The sequence below is a fragment of the Homo sapiens genome, chromosome 17, assembly GCF_000001405.40.
Source record: "Homo sapiens chromosome 17, GRCh38.p14 Primary Assembly".
Lineage (NCBI taxonomy): Eukaryota > Metazoa > Chordata > Mammalia > Primates > Hominidae > Homo > Homo sapiens.
In genome coordinates, this window is record NC_000017.11 from 7,617,888 (window position 1) to 7,636,186 (window position 18,299).

Sequence of the window (18,299 nt, forward strand, 5' to 3'; positions counted from 1 at the left end):
AGCCTGGGCAACATGGCGAAACCCTTTCTCTACCAAAACTACAAAAATTAGCTGGGTGCGGCGGCTCACGCCTGTAATCCCAGCACTTTGGGATGCCGAGGTGGGTGGATCATCTGAGGTCAGGAGTTTGAGACCAGCCTGGCCAACATGGTGAAACCCCATCTCTACTAAAAATATAAAAATTAGCCACACGTGGTAGCGTGTGCCTGTAATCCCAACTACTCAGGAAGCTGAGGGAGGAGAATCTCTTGAACTTGGGAGGCTGAAGTTGCAGTGAGCCGAGATCACACCACTGCACTACATACAGCCTGGGTGACAGAGAAAGATTCTGTCTCAAAAAAAAAAATTATTTCCAACCTCGTTTCCTATACCTAGCCACACTCTCAATATTTTTTTGTTGTTGAGATAGAGTCTTACTCTGCCACTCAGACTGGAGTGCAGTGGTATGATCTCGGCTCACTGCAACCTCTGCCTCCCAGGTTCCAGTGATTCTCTTGCCTCAGCCTCCTGAGTAGCTGTGATTATAGGTGCCCACTGCCACAGCTGGCTAGGTTTGTTTTTTTTGTTTTTGTTTTTGTTTTTGTTTTTTTTGTATTTTTAGTAAAGACGGGGTTTCACCACGTTGGCCAGGCTGGTCTCAAACTCCTCACCTCAGGTGGGTCACCCACCTCGGCTGCCCAAAGTGTTGGGATTATAGGCATGAGCCACTGCGCCCGGCCCACACTCTCAATTAAGTGCAGTAATAGAACAGACATTTTCAGGCTTTTAAGTTCCCAACAAATTTACCTCCCGGTACTCTTTCTCAAAAAGCTCCATCAAAATAAGAAGAGTAAACATAGAAAGAGGAAACACAGGTTCCAGGAAACAGGACGTCAACACAAGAGAGAGGCAAAGGGGATCCCCAGGATAAAGGTGAAGGGAGATCCCAATTGCGCAGCCTCAAGATCGCCTCTCTGGACTGGAGCAGGTCTAAGAGCTTTTTGAGAAAGTTCTTCAAAATGACGTAGATTGAAATCCCTAAGTGTTTGTATATCCTTATAAGAGATTAATTAAGGGAGAATTTGGGGATAAATTAGAGTACACAGGAAACTAAGCAAACAGAGAGGACAAGGCAGTTATTAATTCCAGGGAAAACAAAAATGGTACAGGAAAGAAAAAGAATTGTAACTATCCACATGGATCATACGTGTATTCGTATAATCATAATAATCATAATAATGAGGCCAGGCATGGTGGCTCACACCTGTAATCCCAGCATTTTGGGAGGCCGAGGTGGGCAGATCACCTGAGGTCAGGAGTTCAAGACCAGCCTGACCAACATGGAGAAACTCCATCTCTACTAAAAATACAAAATTAGCCAGGTGTGGTGGCACATGCCTGTAATCCCAGCTACTCGGGAGGCTGAAGCAGGAGAATTGCTTGAACCTAGCAGGCAGAGGTTGCAGTGAGCCAAGATCGCGCCATTGCACTCCAGCCTGGGCATTAAGGGTGAAACTCCATCTCAAAAAAAAAAAAAAATCATAATAATGTAAATGCTAAGGCTGGTGCGGTGGCTCATGCCTGTAATCCCAGCACTTTGGGAGGTCAAGATAGGCGGATCATGAGGTCAGGAGTTCGAGACCAGCCTGACCAACATGGTGAAACCCCATCTCTACTAAAAATACAAAAATTAGCCAGGCATGGTGGCATGCACCTGTAATCCCAGCTACCCAGGAGGCTGAGGCAGGACAATTGCTTGAACCCGGGAGGCAGAGGTTGCCTCTGCATGAGCCGAGATCATGCCATTGCACTCCAGCCTGGGCAACAAGAGCGGAACTTCGTCTCAAAAAAAAAAAAAAAAAGTAAACACTAAACACAGGAGGATGGGAAGTGGAGGTGGGATGATAAGCAGATTGGAAAAATAGTGCTTCTCTTTTTTTAACCTCAGTGATCCGTGTTCTGAAGGGCTAGCTTTTCATCCTCAACAGTGCAAAGCCAATAGCTAATGCCTAAACAAAAAACACTGGAGTGCAGTGGCTCAAACATGCCCCACTTCAGCCTCAACCTTAAGAAGTAAGGCCAAGAGCAGTGGCACATGCCTGTAATCCCAGCCCTTTGGGAGGCCAAGGCAAGAGGATCAGTTAAGGCCAGAAGTTCATGGTTACAGTGAGCTATGATCGTGCCACTGTACTCCAGTCTAGGCAACAGAAAAAGACCCTGTCTCTAAAAAAGTAAAGACTCCTTATCCCTCTCCAAAAAAAAAAAAAAATTGAAAAAATTGAAAAAGAAAAAGAGACATCAAGAAGTGGTAATACTGGCCAGGCGTGGTGGCTCACACCTGTAATCCTCCCTCCTTTGGGAGGCCAAAGTGGGAGGATTGCTTGAGCTCTGGAGTCCAATACTAGCCTGGACAACATAGTGAGACCTAGTCTCCAATAAAAAATTTGTTGTTTGTTTGTTTGTTTTTTGAGACAGAGTCTTACTCTGTTGCCTAGGCTAGAGTGCAGTGGCACGATGTTGGCTCACTGCAACCCCTGCCTCCCGGGTTCAAGAGATCCTCCTGCCTGAGCCTCCCAAGTAGCTTGGATTACAGCCGTTTGCCCCCACATCTGGCTAATTTTTGTATTTTTAGTAGAGACGGGTGGGGTTTCACCATGTTAGCCAGGCTGGTCTCGAACTCCTGACCTCAAGTGATCCACCCGCCTCAGCCTTCCAAAGTGCTGGGATTACAGGCGTGAGCTACAGTGCCCAGATTAATAATTTTTTTTTTTGTTTTTTTGGGGGACGGAGTTTTGCTCTTGTTACCCAGGCTGGAGTGCAATGGTGCAATCTCGGCTCTCTACAACCTCTGCCTCCCAGGTACAAGTGATTCTCCTGTCTCAGTTTCCCAAATAGCTTGGATTACAGACATGTGCCACCACACCCAGCTAATTTTTTTGTATTTAGTAGAGACAGGGTTTCACCATGGTAGTCAGGCTGGTCGCGAACTCCTGACCTCAGGTGAGCCACCTGCCTCGGCCTCCCAGAGTGCTAGAATTACGGGCATGTGCCACCGTGCCCAGACAAAAATTTTGCTTTCATTAGCCAGGCTTGATAGCACCTGACTGTGATCCCAGATACTTGAGAGGCTGAGGTGGGAGAATCACTTGAGCCCAGGAGGTCAAGGTTGCAGTGAGCCATGATCGCACCACTGCACTTGGCCTGGGCAACAGAGCAAGACCCTGTCACAAAAAAAAAAAAAAAAAAAAAAAAAAAAATCAAGATTTGCAATAGCCAGTTAGCTCAGTTGGTTAGAGCCAGGTGCTAACACCAAGGTTGTGGATTTGATCGCCACGTGGGCAAATGTATTATCATTTATGTGGATGGAGGATTGCTTGAGGCCAGGATTTCGAGACCAGCCTGGCCAACACGGAGAAACCCCATGTCTACTAAAAATACAAAAATTATGGGCTTGACACAGTGGCTCGCACCTGTAATCCCAGCACTTTGGGAGGCTGAGGCGGGCAGATCATCTGAGGTCAGGAGTTTGAGACCAGCCTGGCCAACATGGTGAAAACCCATCTCTACTAAAAAAAAATACAAAAATTAGCTGGGCGTGGTGGTGCACGCCTGTAATCCCAGCTACTCAAGAGGTTGAGGCAGGAGAATCACTTGAACCTGGGAGGCAGAGGTTGCAGTGAGCCAAGATCATGCCACTACACTCCAGCCTGGGGGCAACAGAGCGAGTCTCCGTCTAAAAAAAAAAAAAAAAAAAAAAACCAGCTGCATAAACTGGTCTCAAAATAAAGAAATAAATTAAATTTAAATAATAAAATAAAGTACATAATGTATATCTGTGAAAAAAAAAATCCCATGGAATTGGGGGAGAAATTACAGAAGGAGGCTGGGAGACCAGTAAGGAGGTTGTGGCAATTTTCAAAGAGTGAGAACTTTGCAAGTAAGGATAGAGCTATGGACAGATTTGAGAGACATTTTAATTTTTTTTTTTTAGATGGAGTTTTGCTCTGTTGCCCAGGCTGGAGTGCAGTGGCGCAATCTTGGCTCACTGCAACCTCCGCCTCCTGGGTTCAAGCGATTCTCCTGCCTCAGCCTCCCAAGTAGCTGGAATTACAGGCATGCGCCACCATGCCCGGCTAATTTTTTTTTTTTTTTGTATTTAGTAGAGACAGGGTTTCACCATGTTGGTCAGGCTGGTCTCAAACTCCTGACCTCAAATGATCTACCCGCCTCGGCCTCCCAAAGTGCTGGGATTACAGGTGTGAGCCACTACGCCCAGCCCAAGTTTTCTTTATTCTCCCTTTAAAAAGCCATTAGCCTAAATACCCTCCACTCTGTTTCCCTTAGAATGGACAGAACCCAGGCCCTTTTCACCCCACTCCAATCAGCCCCAACACCTAATAGGATCACTTTTTTTTTTCTTTTGTAAGAGGGAGTCTCACTCTGTCACCCAGGCTGGAGTGCAGTGGCTCAATCTTGTCTCACTGCAACCTCCACCTCCCGGGTTCAAGCAATTCTGCTGCCTCAGCCTCCCAAGTAGCTGGGATTACAGGTGCCCACCACCACGCCCAGCTAATTTTTGTATTTTTAGTAGAGACAGGGTTTCACCATGTTGACCAGGCTGGTCTGGAACTCCTGACATCAGGTGATCTGCCCACCTTGGCCTCCCAAAGTGCTGGGATTACAGGCGTGAGCCACTGCGCCTGGCCTGGCCAGGATCATTTTATAGATGGCTAATGAAGTGATGAATGGGCTGGAGCCCAAGGATGTAGACATGGGGGTGGTTGTGAAAATGGAGTGATACTGGAGTGCAAAGATATTCTATGAATATTAGTAAGATCTGGGACCAAGGTGAGGGTAATAACATTAAAAATGTAAACCCTGGGCTGGGCACGGTGGCTCACGCCTGTAATCCCAGTACTTTGGGAGGCCGAGGTGGTCAGATCATTAGGTCAGGAGATCGAGACCATCCTGACTAACACAGTGAAACCCCGTCTCAACTAAAAATACAAAAAAAAAAAAAATTAGCTGGGCGTGGTGGCAGGCGCCTGTGGTCCCAGCTACTTGGGAGGCTGAGGGAGGAGAATGGCACGAACCTGAGAGGCAGAGCTTGCAGTGAGCCGAGATCGCGCCACTGCACTCCAGCCTAGGCGAAAGAGCGAGACTCCGTCTCAAAAAAAAAAAAAAAGTAAACTCTGAAAACCAAAGACAAAACAAGATGGGGGCAAGATAAATTTTGGAAGTATTGGCCGGGCACAGTGGCTCACGCCTGCAATCCCAGCACTTTTGGAGGCCGAGGTGGGCAGATCACCTGAGGTCAGAATTGGAGACCAGCCTGACCAACATGGAGAAACCTCATCTCTACTAGAAACACAAAATTAGCCAGGCGTAGTGGCGCATGCCTGTAATCCCAGCTACTCAGGAGGCTGAGGCAGGAGAACTGCTTGGACCCAGGAGGTGGAGGTTGCAGTGAGTGAGATCGTGCCATTTCACTCCAACCTGGGCAACAAGAGTGAAACTCCATCTCAAACAAACAAACAAAATTTTGGAAGTATTAAGTTTCCTAGTTTATACTCTTTTATCTTCTGCATTAGTGATTAAAGTTTGTTTTTTGAGACAGGGCTTTGCTCTGTCACCCAGGCTAGAGTGCATTGACAGGTTCTCAGTTCACTGTAGCCTCAACCTCCCAGGCTCAAGCCGTCCTCCCATCTCAGCCCCCCAGTAGCTGGGACTACAGGCATTTGCCACCAAGCTCGGCTAATGTTTTTGTATTTTTTGCAGTGACCGGGTTTTGCCCTGTTGCCCAGGTTAGTCTTGAACTCTTGGACTCTATTGATCTACCCACCTTGGTTTTCCAAAATGCTGGGATTATAGGCGTGAGCCACTGTACCCAACCTATTATTTTTTTTTTGTTTTGAGACAAGGTCTCACTCTGTCACTCAGGCTGGAGTGTGGTGGCACAAACGTGACTCACTTCAGCCTCGACCTCTAGGGTTCAGGTGATCCTCCCACCTCAGCCTCCTGAGTAGTTGGGACTACAGGCATTTGTTACTGACCTGGGCAAATTTTATTTATTTAGTTTTTGTTTTCTTTGGGTTTGTTTGTTTGTTTTAGACAGAGTCTTGCTCTGTCGCCCAGAGTGCAGTAGTGCAATCTCGGCTCACTGCAAACTCCACCTCCTAGGTTCAAGTGATTCTCCTGCCTCAGCCTCCTAAGTAGCTGGGATTACAGGCTTGCACCACCAAGACCAGCTAATTTTTGTATTTTTAGTAGAAACAGGGTTTCACCCTGTTCGCCAGGCTGGTCTCAAACTCCTGACCTCCAGTGATCCACCCGCCTTGGCCTCCCAAAGTGTTAGGATACAGACGTGAGCCACCACGCCTGGCCATTTTCTTTTTTTTTGAGACAGAGTCTCCATCTGTCACCCAGGCTGGAGTGCGGTGGCACAATCTCAGCTCACTGCAACCTCTGCCACCTGGGTTCAAGCGATTCTCATGCCTCAACCTCCCAGGTAGCTGGAATTACATGGGTGCCACCACACCCAGCTAATTTTTGTATTTTTAGTTGAGATGGGATTTCACCATGTTGGCCAGGCTGGTCTCGAACTCCTGACCTCAAGTGATCTGCCTGCCTCCCAAAGTGCTGGGATTATAAGGATGAACCACTGCACCCGGCCTAATTTTGTAGAGATGTGGTCTTGCCCATGTTGCCTAGGCTGGTCTTGAACTCCTGGGCTCAAGTGATCCTCCACCCTCAACCTCTCAAAGTGTTGAGATTTTTGTTGTTGCTGTTTTGTTTTTGTTTTTGAGACTGGGTATGGCTCTGTCACTCAGGCTGGAGTCCAGTGGCATGATCTCGGCTCACTGCAACCTCCACTTCCTGGGATCAAGCGATTCTCATGCCTCAGCCTCCCCAGTAGCTGGGCCTAGAGGAGCATGCCATTGCGTGCTGGCTTTTTTTGTATTGTTTGTAGAGACGAGACTTTGCTTTCCTATGTTGGCCAGGCTGCTCTTGAACTCCTGGGCTCAAGCAATTTGCCGGCCTCCCAAAATCCAAAATGCTGGGATTACAGGCGTGAGCTTTTTTTTTTTTTTTTTTTTTTGGAGATGGAGTTTTGCTCTTGTTGCCCAGGCTGGAGTGCAGTGGCATGATCTTGACTCACTGCAACCTCCATCTCCCAGGTTCAAGCGATTCTCCTGCCTCAGCCTCCTGAGTAGCTGGGATTACAGGCGCCTGCCACCACGCCTGGCTAATTTTGTATTTTTAGTAGAGATGGGGTTTTGCTGTGTTGGTCAGGCTGCTCTTGAACTCCTGACCTCAGATGATCGACCCGCCTCGGCCTCCCAAACTGCTGGGATCACAGGCATAAGCCACTGAGCCCGGCCAGGCATGAGCTTTTGTAGGGCATACCAGATTGAAAATGAAGACTGTCAGGCCAGGCGTGGTGGCTCACGCCTGTAATCTCAGCACTTTGGGAGGCAAGGTGGGTGGATCACGAGGTCAGGAGATCGAGACCATCCTGGCTAACACGGTGAAACCCCGTCTCTACTAAAAATACAAAAACTTAGCCGGGCGTGGTGGCGGGGGCCTGTAGTCCCAGCTGTTCAGGAGGCTGAGGCAGGAGAATGGTGAGAACCCAAGAGGCAAAGCTTGCAGTGAGCCAAGATCTCACCACTGCCCTCCAGCCTGGGTGACAGAGCGAGACTCTGTCTCAAAAAAAATAAAAAGAAAAAGAAAAGACTGTGGGCTGGGCGCGGTGGCTCACACCTGTAATCCCAGCACTTTGGGGGGCCGAGGCAGTCGGACTACCTGAGGTCAGGAATTTGAGACCAGCCTGGCCAACAAGGTGAAACCCCGTCTCTACTAAAAATACGAAAATTAGCCGCATGTGGTAGCAGGCGCCTGTAATCCCAGCTACTCGGGAGTCTGAGGCAGGAGAATCACTTGAACCCGGGAGGCGGATGTTGCAGTGAGCCAAGATCAAACCTTTGCACTCCTTGCACTCTGGCCTGAGGACAACAGCAAGACTTGATCTCAAAAAAAAAAAAAAAGACTTTGGACTGGGTGCAGTGGCTCACACCAGTAATCCCAGCACTTTTCGAGGCCGAGGCGGACGGATCACGAGATCAGGAGTTGGAGACCAGCCTGGCCAGTATGGTGAAACACCGTCTCTACTAAAAATTAGCCGGGCATGGTGGTGCGCACCCGTAGTCCCAGCTACTCGGGAGGCTGAGGCAGGATAATTGCTTGAACCCGTGAGGCAGAGGTTGCAGTGAGCGGAGTTCGCACCACTGCACTCCAGCGTGCGCGACAGAGACTCTGTCTCAAAAAAAAAAAAAAAAAGAAATAAAAGAAAGACCCAACACCACATCAGGACATGTAATTCTTATTTATTTTTCACCCTCAACAAGGAAGAAAGGTCTCTCCCTCAATTCTGCTCTTCCAATACTTGAGGATAGGCACCCCTAACCCTCCTTCCTCCAGGGAGGCCTCAGCATCAGTGTCTGTGGACGTAGTCTCTGAAGAGTGCTTCAGCTGATGGGGAAGGAGAAACTCAAGACAGAGATCCTCCTAGGGATGGCGTCACTTTCCTGCCAACTTTCTCGTTGCCTCTCCTTGAAAGCAGAAGAAGTGCCAGCCCTCAGCTTCCGTCAGATCTTGGGCTCCTAGGGCCTTGTACAAGTCCATGGCCCTCTGGTTCCAGTCCAGGACGGCCAGGCGGAATTGGGAGCAGCCCTTATCCAAGGCCACCTGTGGGAGAAGACAACACTAACTTTTCTGGGGTCAAAAAAGAAAAAGGTTTTCTCACTCCCTCTTTCAACCCGGGTCCCCCCTCCATATACCCTTGCTTCTTCAGGTCCTCACTTGTCGCCCCACCCATCTCCTCACCTCAGCCACCTTTTTGATTATTTTGGAACCAATCCCTTGACCTGTTGTGGAGAGAAAGAGGCAAAAAATAGCTATTGTTTGAGCTGAAGGGGATCAGAAAATGACACCGGCTGGGCTCTGGGGACAGGGGATAACAGTGGGGTCTGTGGGGTGCTTTGCTCCCACCCCAGCCTCAGCTTCTGCCCAGTACCCCGATATTCCGGCATCACATAGATATCCTCCAGATAAATGGTGCGTCCCTTCCATGTACTGTAGATGAAATAGTATATCCCATAGCCCACCACGCAGGGCCCTGAGAGAGAGAAAAGGGGAGTAAGGCTTCTGGAAGCCTGTGGGGAGACCTCTGAGGCCGGCTGGAGAGGTGGACTTCTAAGGGCCAGGTGCTCTTACCCAGTAGCTTCCCGGGCGCTGGAAGAATCTCTGCTACCAAACAGTGATAGAAAGGATTGTCTCCAAAGCCATCTGCTCTCAGGGCTGCCGAGATTGGAGTTGTGACAAAGAGATAGAGAAAGAGGACGTGGGTGTATGCCCAGCCTGGAGCTGTCGCCTGGGGAACCCATCCCTCATTTCCTCCCCAGCCTCCGCCAGAACCTGGGCGCTGAGCCCCCACCTTCTTCACTGATCTTCACCTGATCCGAGAGTTTTTCGAATTCGGCTAGCTCCTAAGGCGTGGGTACGGAAGCTAGATTAGAGCAGAAGGGCCCCGCTGCTCCCCGAGCAGGTTCCCAAGGCGAGCCCCTCCCCCTGCCCCCGCCTCCTACGACCCCGCTCTGGCCGCGCCACTCTGACCCCCGGGTTACCGGCCTGCAGTCTTCACCCGAATCAGCCTCAGGATATCTCCACAGTCTCCCTCCTTGGCCTCTCGGATCCGCACGGAAGCCATCCGGATCCCCGCTGTCTGGGACCAAAGTCCCAGGGCCTCGCAAACGGCAACTAGACCCCTTAAAGGGCCTACGGACTTGGATCCTGAAGAGCCTGAGAGAGCGGGGTGGCGGGAGTCGGGGGGGACGGCGGGGTAGCCGCGGCCTGGTAAGTGGAGCTGGGATTCCGGCGCCGTACGGGAGGAGAGAGTAGGCCAGCGAGGCGATCCTCTGTCCGGGCATAGCCCCACCCCCTCGAATTCTGTCGCAGCAGGGGGCACAACTGTCAGCCAATCAGCTTGGAGAACAGGCACGGCCGCGTCCCCCCCAAGCCCCACCCCCGACAGCTGGATCTTGTGACTGGGCTCCTGGGTAGAGTTCAAGGTTGGAGTGAAGCGGCTTCCTTGCGGTTGTGTGGGTGTCCCAACCTGGGTCGAGATACCCCGCGGTTCAAAGGCTCCCCCGCAGTGCTTTTTAAATTGACATATGCAGTGATAACCTGCTTTAGCCTCAGGCTCACTCACCCGCCCAGACCCTGGGTAAGCCTTAAGACCCTCAGCTCTGAAAGCTGTTTCCTGCAGCTCTTGAGTAGCATGAAGTGTTACCTCTTGGGGGCATTTGCATTTTTTAAATGTTTTATTTTTATATTTATTTATTTATTTATTTTTGGAGATGGTGTATTGCTTTGTCGCCCAGGCTGGGGTGTAGTGGCGCGATCTCTGCTCACTGCAGCCTCCACCTCCCGAGTTCAAGCGATCCTCCTGTCTCAGCCTCCGGAGTAGCTGGAACTACAGTCGCGCACCGGCACGCCCGGCTAATTTTTTTTTCTTTTTTCTTCTCTTTTTTTTTGTTTTAACGGATTCTCACTCTGTCACTCAGGCTGGAGTGCAGTGGCGCGATCTCGGCTCACTGCAACCTCTCCCTCCTGGGTTCAAGCGATTCTCCTGCCTCACCCTCGGAGTAGCTGGGATTACAGGCATGGGCAACCATACCTGGCTAATTTTTGTATTTTTAGTAGAGACGGGGTTTCACTATGTTGGCCAGGCTGGTCTGGAACTCCTGACCTCAAGTGATCTGCCCGCCTCAGCCTTCTAAAGTGCTGGGATTACAGATGTGACCCACCAAGCCCGGTCTGTCATTTGCATTTTAAAATGGGTCATGGGGTGGGCACAGTGGCTCACACCTGTAATCCCAGCATTTTGGGAGGCAGAGGCAGGCGGATCACCTGAGATCAGGAATTTGAGACCAGCCTGACCAACATGGTGAAACCCCGTCTCTACTAAAAATACAAAAATTAGACAGGTGTGGTGGCGCATGCCTTTACTCCCAGCTACTCGGGAGGCTGAGACAGGAGAATCGCTTGAACCTGGGAGGTGGAGGTTACAGTGAGCCGAGATCGTGCCATTGCACTCCAGCCTGGGCAACAAAAGCGAAACTCCATCTCAAAATAAATAAATAAAATAAAATGCGTCAGGGAGGGTCGGGCCTTGTGGCTAATGCCTGTAATCCAGGTACTTTGGGAGGCTGAGGTGGGCGGATCATTTCAGGTCAGAGGTTCGAGATCAGCCTGGGCAACGTGGTGAAATCCCCGTCTCTACTAAAAACACAAAAAAATTTGCTGGGCGTGGTGGTGCGTGCACCTGTAGTCCCAACTACTAAGGAGGCTGAGACAGGAGGATCGCTTGAACTCGAGAGGCAGAGGCAGCAGTGAGCCGAGATCACGCCACTGCACTCCAGCCTGGGTGATAGAGCAAGACTCTGTCTAAAATAAAATAAAATAAAATAAAATAAAATAAAATAAAATGGGTCAGGGAGTGGGTGATTTCTACTGCTAGACTGTTTAGGCCCTGTAATAAATGGATAAGGGAAGATAACTGAGAGGCGGGGGGCAGGTCCCTTCTTAATATTCACTGAATCATACACACAGACAATACCTTCTTGGGAGACAGGCCTCAGAGGCCTGGGAAAAGACTGGGGGAGGAGTTCAGACCAGATGCCAGGCACTGTGCCTGCATTTTCTCAATGAACCCTCTTTCACAGTCACCCCGTAAAGTATTATTTTCCTCATTTTACAGACAAGGACACTGAAGCACAGAGGTGAAGTGACTTGCCCAAGGTCACTCAGCTAGAAATTTAGGATTCCATTATCTCATTTCTAGTCCTGATACAGGATGCTACTTGGGACGCAGGGGAGGACTGTTTCTAGACCTCAGGCCTGTGAATGCAGGCTCCCCGAGTGGACAGAAATCTTGGAGGACCTAGATCAGGCCCTAGAGGAGGAGAGGGGAGATGGAATATCCTCTCCCAGTTCAGAAACTTTCTCGGCAGTGGAGGATGATAGTGGAGGGGACTCTGTCCTTCACCCCATTGATCCCCAGAGGGGTGATAGCTGAGTCTTGTGACTGGGCCCCTGGGCAGGGGTCAAGGGTCAGTGCCCCTGTTTCCTTTACCCCCTCCTCCCCGGGCAACCTTTAACCCTCCACCGCCCACACGCAAGGCTGCCTGCCTCTACACATTCTCCCAAGAGTTGTCTGAGCCGCCGAGTGGACAGTGGCTGATTATGGAGAGCAGAGGCCCACTGGCTACCTCGCGCCTGCTGCTGTTGCTGCTGTTGCTACTACTGCGTCACACCCGCCAGGGATGGGCCCTGAGACCTGTTCTCCCCACCCAGGTGCAGGAGCGGGACAGGGCACTCAGCTCATGCAGTCTTCCCTTCTCTCCTCTGGCCCTGTAGCAGGGCCTCTCCCTCTGTCTGTCTCTGACATGTCCCTACTCAGCTTTGTTTGTTTTCTCTTTCTGATAGAGTGCCCACGACCCTCCGGCTGTCCACCTCAGCAATGGCCCAGGACAAGAGCCTATCGCTGTCATGACCTTTGACCTCACCAAGATCACAAAGTATGGGGTTGGCCTAGCCCTTGACCCAGTCCCCTGGTTCTGCCCTCTCTCCATCAGCTCTTCTCTTTTCCCTGTCTTCCTTTCCTTATCTGTGAACACCATCTCCCCCAAACCCACACTGGTTCTCAAAGGACACATGACATACACAATCTTTCCTTCTGTGTCCTTCCAGAACCTCCTCCTCCTTTGAGGTTCGAACCTGGGACCCAGAGGGAGTGATTTTTTATGGGGATACCAACCCTAAGGATGACTGGTTTATGCTGGGACTTCGAGACGGCAGGCCTGAGATCCAACTGCACAATCACTGGGCCCAGCTTACGGTGGGTGCTGGACCACGGCTGGATGATGGGAGATGGCACCAGGTAAGCTAGCTCTGGTCCTCAGGGGAGGGATGTCTGGAGCTGGTCTGAGGAAAGGGAACAAAACCAAGTTATTGGGCATCCCTCTACCACTGTCATCTCGTTTAATCCACACGAACCCCCACAAAGTAGCTATTCTTGGCCCCATCTTTTCTGATGGGAATTCTAAGGCTCAGTCAGTATATAAGTGACAAGAGCTGAGTGACCCAAGGCCAAGGATGCTAGCTGCTTCTTTAAGGCATGTTCTTTCCACTATAGTACTAGGCTGCCTCACAGGAAGGTGGCAGAAACAGATCCCAGGGGCCTCTGATTTTGCTTCCCACCTTCCTGCAGGTGGAAGTCAAGATGGAGGGGGACTCTGTGCTGCTGGAGGTGGATGGGGAGGAGGTGCTGCGCCTGAGACAGGTCTCTGGGCCCCTGACCAGCAAACGCCATCCCATCATGAGGATTGCGCTTGGGGGGCTGCTCTTCCCCGCTTCCAACCTTCGGTTGCCGGTAACTACACCCCAGGGGTGGAACCCTAGCCAAGACTTGGTAAAGCACTGCTGGGTGGCTGGCCGTGGGAATCTAAGTCCACACTTTTAGGGAGAAGGGAAGGGTTGAGAGCTGCAAGGGGGAGGCCAAATGCTCAGAGGGGAGTCAACTGAGGGCAGGGAGGTCGGGACTGCGGCTCCGATGCCCTGATTTCTACATCCCCGTATCTTATCTCTGTCACACTCCAGCTGGTTCCTGCCCTGGATGGCTGCCTGCGCCGGGATTCCTGGCTGGACAAACAGGCCGAGATCTCAGCATCTGCCCCCACTAGCCTCAGAAGCTGTGATGTAGAATCAAATCCCGGGATATTTCTCCCTCCAGGGACTCAGGCAGAATTCAATCTCCGAGGTAGATTTCCTCGGAGTCTATTTTTCCCACCCTGGCCAGCTCAGCCTGCCTCTGTCCCCCTCTACCACTGGCCCCTTTCCTCCTTGAGACCCCAGCTTTGAGGCCTCAGGATAATCATTTCTCCCCACAGACATTCCCCAGCCTCATGCAGAGCCCTGGGCCTTCTCTTTGGACCTGGGACTCAAGCAGGCAGCAGGCTCAGGCCACCTCCTTGCTCTTGGGACACCAGAGAACCCATCTTGGCTCAGTCTCCACCTCCAAGATCAAGTAAAGGGGGACAGTGGGGCATTGCCTGTATTCAGTGGAGCCTGGAGCAATGAGGGAAGAGGGGAGTCCAACATGTCAATATTAGGAAGGTTTCCAGCCCAGGGAACATAACAAGACTGGCTCCACAGAATTGTTTTTCATTAATAATTAGCCAGGCATGGTGGTGCTTGCCTGTAATCCCAGGTGCTGGAGGCCAAGACCAGAGGATCACTTGAGGCCAGGAGTTTGACACCAGCCTGGGCAACATAGCAGAGACCTCTGTCTAAAAAAAAAAAAAAATTAGCCAGGCATGGTAGCACATGTCTGCTGCCCTAGCTATTTAGGAGCCTGAGGCAGGAGGTTCACTTGAGCCCAGGAGTTTGAAGCTGCAGTGAGCTATGATGTGCCACTGCACTCTGACCTGGGCCACAGTGAGACCCTGTCTCAAAAAAATAAAAATAAAAATAAGGCTTATGGATGGCACTCAGGTGGGTGGTAGGGGCGAGGGACATATCTTGAAGCTCCCCACAGCAAGCAAACAGTTTTGACTTAGACTGCATATTTACTTGGGGCAGGTGTGGTTTCAAAAAGGGTCAAGCCAAAAAAAATTGGGGCAGGATTTAAGTGGTGAGAATGGCCAGTAGGTGGAGGCATAGCGAAGAGGCAGAATTAAGGCAGCTAGGGGTGAGGCCACAGGCAGTAGGCCCGGCTCATTCTTCCCTCTCTCTCTACCGTCCCTTTCCCACACACTCTGCAGAAGGTGGTGTTGTCTTCTGGGTCGGGGCCAGGGCTGGATCTGCCCCTGGTCTTGGGACTCCCTCTTCAGCTGAAGCTGAGTATGTCCAGGGTGGTCTTGAGCCAAGGGTCGAAGATGAAGGCCCTTGCCCTGCCTCCCTTAGGCCTGGCTCCCCTCCTTAACCTCTGGGCCAAGCCTCAAGGGCGTCTCTTCCTGGGGGCTTTACCAGGTAAGAGAGAATGATGTTCAAGTTCATGAGCACAACATTGGAAACAGCTCAAGGGAGGCGGCACATTTTGAGGGGAAGGAAACCTCTGGGAGGGAAGAAGAATAGGCCACAAGAAGAAGATATGGGGGCAGTGGAAGGTAGTGCTTTTGCAAACTCAGGTTGGAGGAGTGGAAAAGTGGGGAGAAGATTCTGGATCCGAGCCACCTTAATGCTCTAATGCCACCTTTGCACTACCTCCCTCTAGGAGAAGACTCTTCCACCTCTTTTTGCCTGAATGGCCTTTGGGCACAAGGTCAGAGGCTGGATGTGGACCAGGCCCTGAACAGAAGCCATGAGATCTGGACTCACAGCTGCCCCCAGAGCCCAGGCAATGGCACTGACGCTTCCCATTAAAGCTCCACCTAAGAACCCCCTTTGAAAGTTACTGATTATTCATTTATTCAACAAATATTCACTGTGCACTAGCAATGTACCAGGCACTGTGCCAAGTATTGAGTTGTCTTAATGAGCAAAAACACTCTGGTTCCTACCCTCTTGGTGCCCACAGTCCCATAGGGAAGCAGACATCCATCAAAGGCTAACTAATAAGTGGATAGTTGGAAGCACTGATAAAGAAGAATTGGAGAGTTGTGAAAACATGGAGACTGGCCGGGCGTGGTGGCTCACGCCTGTAATCCCAGCACTTTGGGAGGCAGAGGCGGGCGGACCACAAGGTCAGGAGATCGAGACCATCCTGGCTAACACGGTGAAACCCCGTCTCTACTGAAAATACAAAAAAATTAGCTGGGCATGGTGGCGGGCGCCTGTAGTCCCGGCTGCTCGAGAGGCTGAGGCAGGAGAATGGTGTGAACCCGGGAGGCGGAGCTTGCAGTGAGCCGAGATCGCGCCACTACACTCCAGCCTGGGCAACAGAGCAAGAGTCCATCTCAAAAAAAAAGAAAAAAGAAAAAATAGAAAACATGGAGACTAGGAGGCCTTAACTTAGTCTGAGCGTCAAGGAGAGTTTCTCTAAGGAAATGAGGACTTCTTTTTTTTTTTTTTTTTGAGATGGAGTTTCCCGCTCTTGTTGCCCAGGCTGGAGTGCAATGGCGTGATCTCGGCTCACTGCAACCTCCGCCTCGCGGGTTCAAGCGATTCTTTTGCCTCAGCCTCCCGAGTAGCTGGGATTACAGGCGTGCACCACCACCCCCAGCTAATTTTTTGTATTTTTAGTAGAGGTGGGGTTTCACCATGTTGGCCAGGCTGGTCTAGAACTCCTGACCTCGGGTGATCCTCCTGCCTCGGCCTCCCAAAGTGCTGGGATTACAGGCGTGAGCCATTGCGTCCGGCTGGAAATGAGGACTTCTTAGGCTGAGATCCCAGCAAAAACCCCGACAGACAGACATACTCTGGATACAGGTCACTTTCTGGAAGCCAGGACCCACCTGGTTCCGCAGAAGCTACTCCCTTTGAGACCAGTTTCCTGCCTCTGTGGCTGGTCCAGAGAGATCAGGAGGAAGGGAAGAGATGGGATTTTGACATCTCAGTCATCTGGTCCTTGGACTGGCCATTGCTGCCCAGGGAAGAAGCAGCAGGGGGCGTGAGAGGGTCACAGAGAGATGTGGGTAGGGGTTCTGGAAAAAGGGGTGGAGGCAGGGAGAAAGAAAAAGGGAGGAGAGCAGAGGGAGAAAGTCGCGTCTCTCTCTCTCTCTCCTAGTCTTGGTCCACTTGCTGCCTTCCCAGACAAATTTGTCTCTACTCCATTAAGCAAGAACTGGCTTGTGCTGGTCCCAGCTGGGAAAAACAGACAGATTTGGGAATATCTCTCCCCTCAAAGAATACGGTGACCCAGCTCTCAACCACAGACCTCTAGAGAATGCTGGTGCCCAGCATCCCTCCCTGGGGAACCCTCGTATCCAAGCCCATAGCCCCTACCCCTCAGCTCCCAGTCTTCTGCCCTCTTAGGAACCCTTGTGTCCTAGCCCAAAGCTCCCAGCCTACTAAGGAGCCCTGGGGCTAAAGCCCCCCATCCTCTTTCCTCTCAAGAACTATTAGGTCAGCCAGGTGTGGTAGCTCACACCTTTAATCCCAGCACTTTGGGAGGCCGGGGTGGGCGGATCACCTGAAGTCAGGAGTTTGAGACCAATCTGGCCAACATAGTGCAATCCCGTCTCTACTAAAAATACAAAAATTAGCTGGGCATGATGGTGGGCGCCTGTAATCCCAGCTACTCGGGAGGCTGAGGCAGGAGAATTGCTTGAACCTGGGAGGTGGAGGTTGCAGTGAGCCGAGATTGCGCCACTGCACTCCAACCTGGGTGACAGAGTGAGACTCTGTCTCAAAAAAACAAAACAAAACAAAAAAAAACTTAAAAAGAACCATTAGGTTAAAGCATCCTCCATCTCCAGACCCCATGAGAATCCCAGTGTCCAAGACTCCTAATTTCTTACAAGAATCTTTTCACCAGTAACCCAGGCAGCAGGCTGAGTCACTCACTGGAGCTGCTGTCCCCTTCTGCAGAGATCAGCCGGGACCTAAATGACTCCAGGGTAAGGAGGCCCTGGGGAGTCTGTAGGGTAGAAGACACAAATCCCAAGCCCCACCTTCTACCTCTCCTAATCTTGACCCTATAGACCCTCTCAGGATCTACAACTGCCTCCACCCAGCCAGCAGTGTTGGTAGTGGAGTCTTCAGCAATGGAGAGGGCATCCACATTTAACTCTGGCCCCTTGTTGACGTTCAGGGCTAACCTAGGCCACCTGAGCACCCGCTATGTACTAGGCACTGTTGTAGATACTGAGGATTCGTTGGTGAAAAGGACAAAAACAGGCTGGGCGCAGTGGCTCACGCCTGTAATCTCAGCACTTTGGGAGGCTGAGACGGGCGGATCATGAGGTCAGGAGATCAAGACCATCCTAGCCGGGCGTGGTGGCGGCGCCTGTAGTCTCAGCTACTTGGGAGGCTGAGGCAGGAGAATGGCGTGAACCCGGGAGGTGGAGCTTGCAGTGAGCGGAGATCGCACCACTGCACTCCAGCCTGGGCGACAGAGCGAGACTCCGTCTCAAAAAAAAAAGAAAGAAAGAAAAAAGAAAAGGACAAACACTATCCCCGCTCTGATGGAACTTATAGCATAGTAGAGGGGAAGCAGACACAAACAAGAACACAAATAAATAAGCAGGATTATTTCAGATAGCGGTTAGAGCAATAAAGGGAACAAAACCCTGTAATATAATAGGAGGGGGAGGGGA

General features: G+C 51.0%; 2 protein-coding genes and 1 pseudogene across 13 annotated transcripts in view, besides 5 other annotated features; 2 read left to right on the plus strand and 1 right to left on the minus strand.

Annotated features, from left to right (window-relative positions):
* SHBG (sex hormone binding globulin) overlaps positions 1-15,485 on the plus strand; it is a 19,309-nt gene extending 3,824 nt beyond the window's left edge. Inside the window, exons 1-8 of one of the 8 annotated variants that reach the window (NM_001289113.2) lie at positions 9,674-10,264; positions 12,529-12,620; positions 12,793-12,982; positions 13,313-13,474; positions 13,702-13,861; positions 13,992-14,128; positions 14,865-15,072; positions 15,317-15,485. In NM_001289113.2, the coding sequence (NP_001276042.1) occupies positions 12,592-12,620; positions 12,793-12,982; positions 13,313-13,474; positions 13,702-13,861; positions 13,992-14,128; positions 14,865-15,072; positions 15,317-15,465 (1,035 nt within the window). In that variant the 5' untranslated portion in view covers positions 9,674-10,264; positions 12,529-12,591 and the 3' untranslated portion in view covers positions 15,466-15,485. Of the gene's footprint in view, positions 1-9,673; positions 10,265-12,247; positions 12,397-12,528; positions 12,621-12,792; positions 12,983-13,312; positions 13,475-13,701; positions 13,862-13,991; positions 14,129-14,864; positions 15,073-15,316 lie in introns of those variants that run through there. The other 7 variants (NM_001040.5, NM_001146279.3, NM_001289116.2 and 4 more) reach the window with 7 other exon arrangements.
* Positions 1,831-2,031: a silencer, noted in NCBI's record as "peak2713 fragment used in MPRA reporter construct". NCBI's record gives its function as "represses an SCP1 promoter by STARR-seq MPRAs in K562 erythroleukemia cells {active_cell/tissue: K562}" and the evidence as "EXISTENCE:reporter gene assay evidence [ECO:0000049][PMID:32103011]".
* TRUND-NNN6-1 (tRNA-undetermined (NNN) 6-1) lies at positions 3,252-3,320 on the plus strand (annotated as a pseudogene).
* SAT2 (spermidine/spermine N1-acetyltransferase family member 2) lies at positions 8,347-9,989 on the minus strand. Of its 5 annotated transcripts, none has more exons than NM_001320845.1 (6): positions 9,666-9,989; positions 9,476-9,527; positions 9,256-9,339; positions 9,056-9,157; positions 8,866-8,906; positions 8,347-8,727 (listed from the first exon to the last, which is right to left on the minus strand). In NM_001320845.1, exons 1-6 carry the CDS (start codon positions 9,966-9,968, stop codon positions 8,560-8,562), a joined length of 750 nt encoding a protein of 249 aa, NP_001307774.1. In that variant the 5' UTR covers positions 9,969-9,989; the 3' UTR covers positions 8,347-8,559. The 5 variants fall into 5 exon arrangements, with proteins under 5 accessions (NP_001307774.1, XP_016879562.1, NP_597998.1 ...); XM_017024073.1 differs by having other exon boundaries at positions 8,820-8,906; NM_133491.5 differs by having other exon boundaries at positions 9,683-9,934.
* Positions 9,313-9,362: an enhancer, noted in NCBI's record as "active region_11638". NCBI's record gives its function as "activates an Ori minimal core promoter by ATAC-STARR-seq in GM12878 lymphoblastoid cells {active_cell/tissue: GM12878}" and the evidence as "EXISTENCE:reporter gene assay evidence [ECO:0000049][PMID:35858748]".
* Positions 9,573-9,632: a silencer, noted in NCBI's record as "silent region_8134". NCBI's record gives its function as "represses an Ori minimal core promoter by ATAC-STARR-seq in GM12878 lymphoblastoid cells {active_cell/tissue: GM12878}" and the evidence as "EXISTENCE:reporter gene assay evidence [ECO:0000049][PMID:35858748]".
* Positions 9,843-9,922: an enhancer, noted in NCBI's record as "active region_11639". NCBI's record gives its function as "activates an Ori minimal core promoter by ATAC-STARR-seq in GM12878 lymphoblastoid cells {active_cell/tissue: GM12878}" and the evidence as "EXISTENCE:reporter gene assay evidence [ECO:0000049][PMID:35858748]".
* Positions 14,739-14,828: an enhancer, noted in NCBI's record as "active region_11640". NCBI's record gives its function as "activates an Ori minimal core promoter by ATAC-STARR-seq in GM12878 lymphoblastoid cells {active_cell/tissue: GM12878}" and the evidence as "EXISTENCE:reporter gene assay evidence [ECO:0000049][PMID:35858748]".

Excerpts from the sequence above, each read along its gene's own strand:
- SAT2 (NM_001320845.1), bottom strand. The coding sequence starts at position 9,968 with ATGCCCGGACAGAGGATCGCCTCGCTGGCCTACTCTCTCCTCCCGTAC. Across the intron at positions 9,340-9,475 it reads GGTGAAGATCAGTGAAGAAG|CCCTGAGAGCAGATGGCTTT; the intron begins GTGGGGGCTCAG and ends CAATCTCGGCAG. Across the intron at positions 8,728-8,865 it reads TAATCAAAAAGGTGGCTGAG|GTGGCCTTGGATAAGGGCTG; the intron begins GTGAGGAGATGG and ends CTTCTCCCACAG.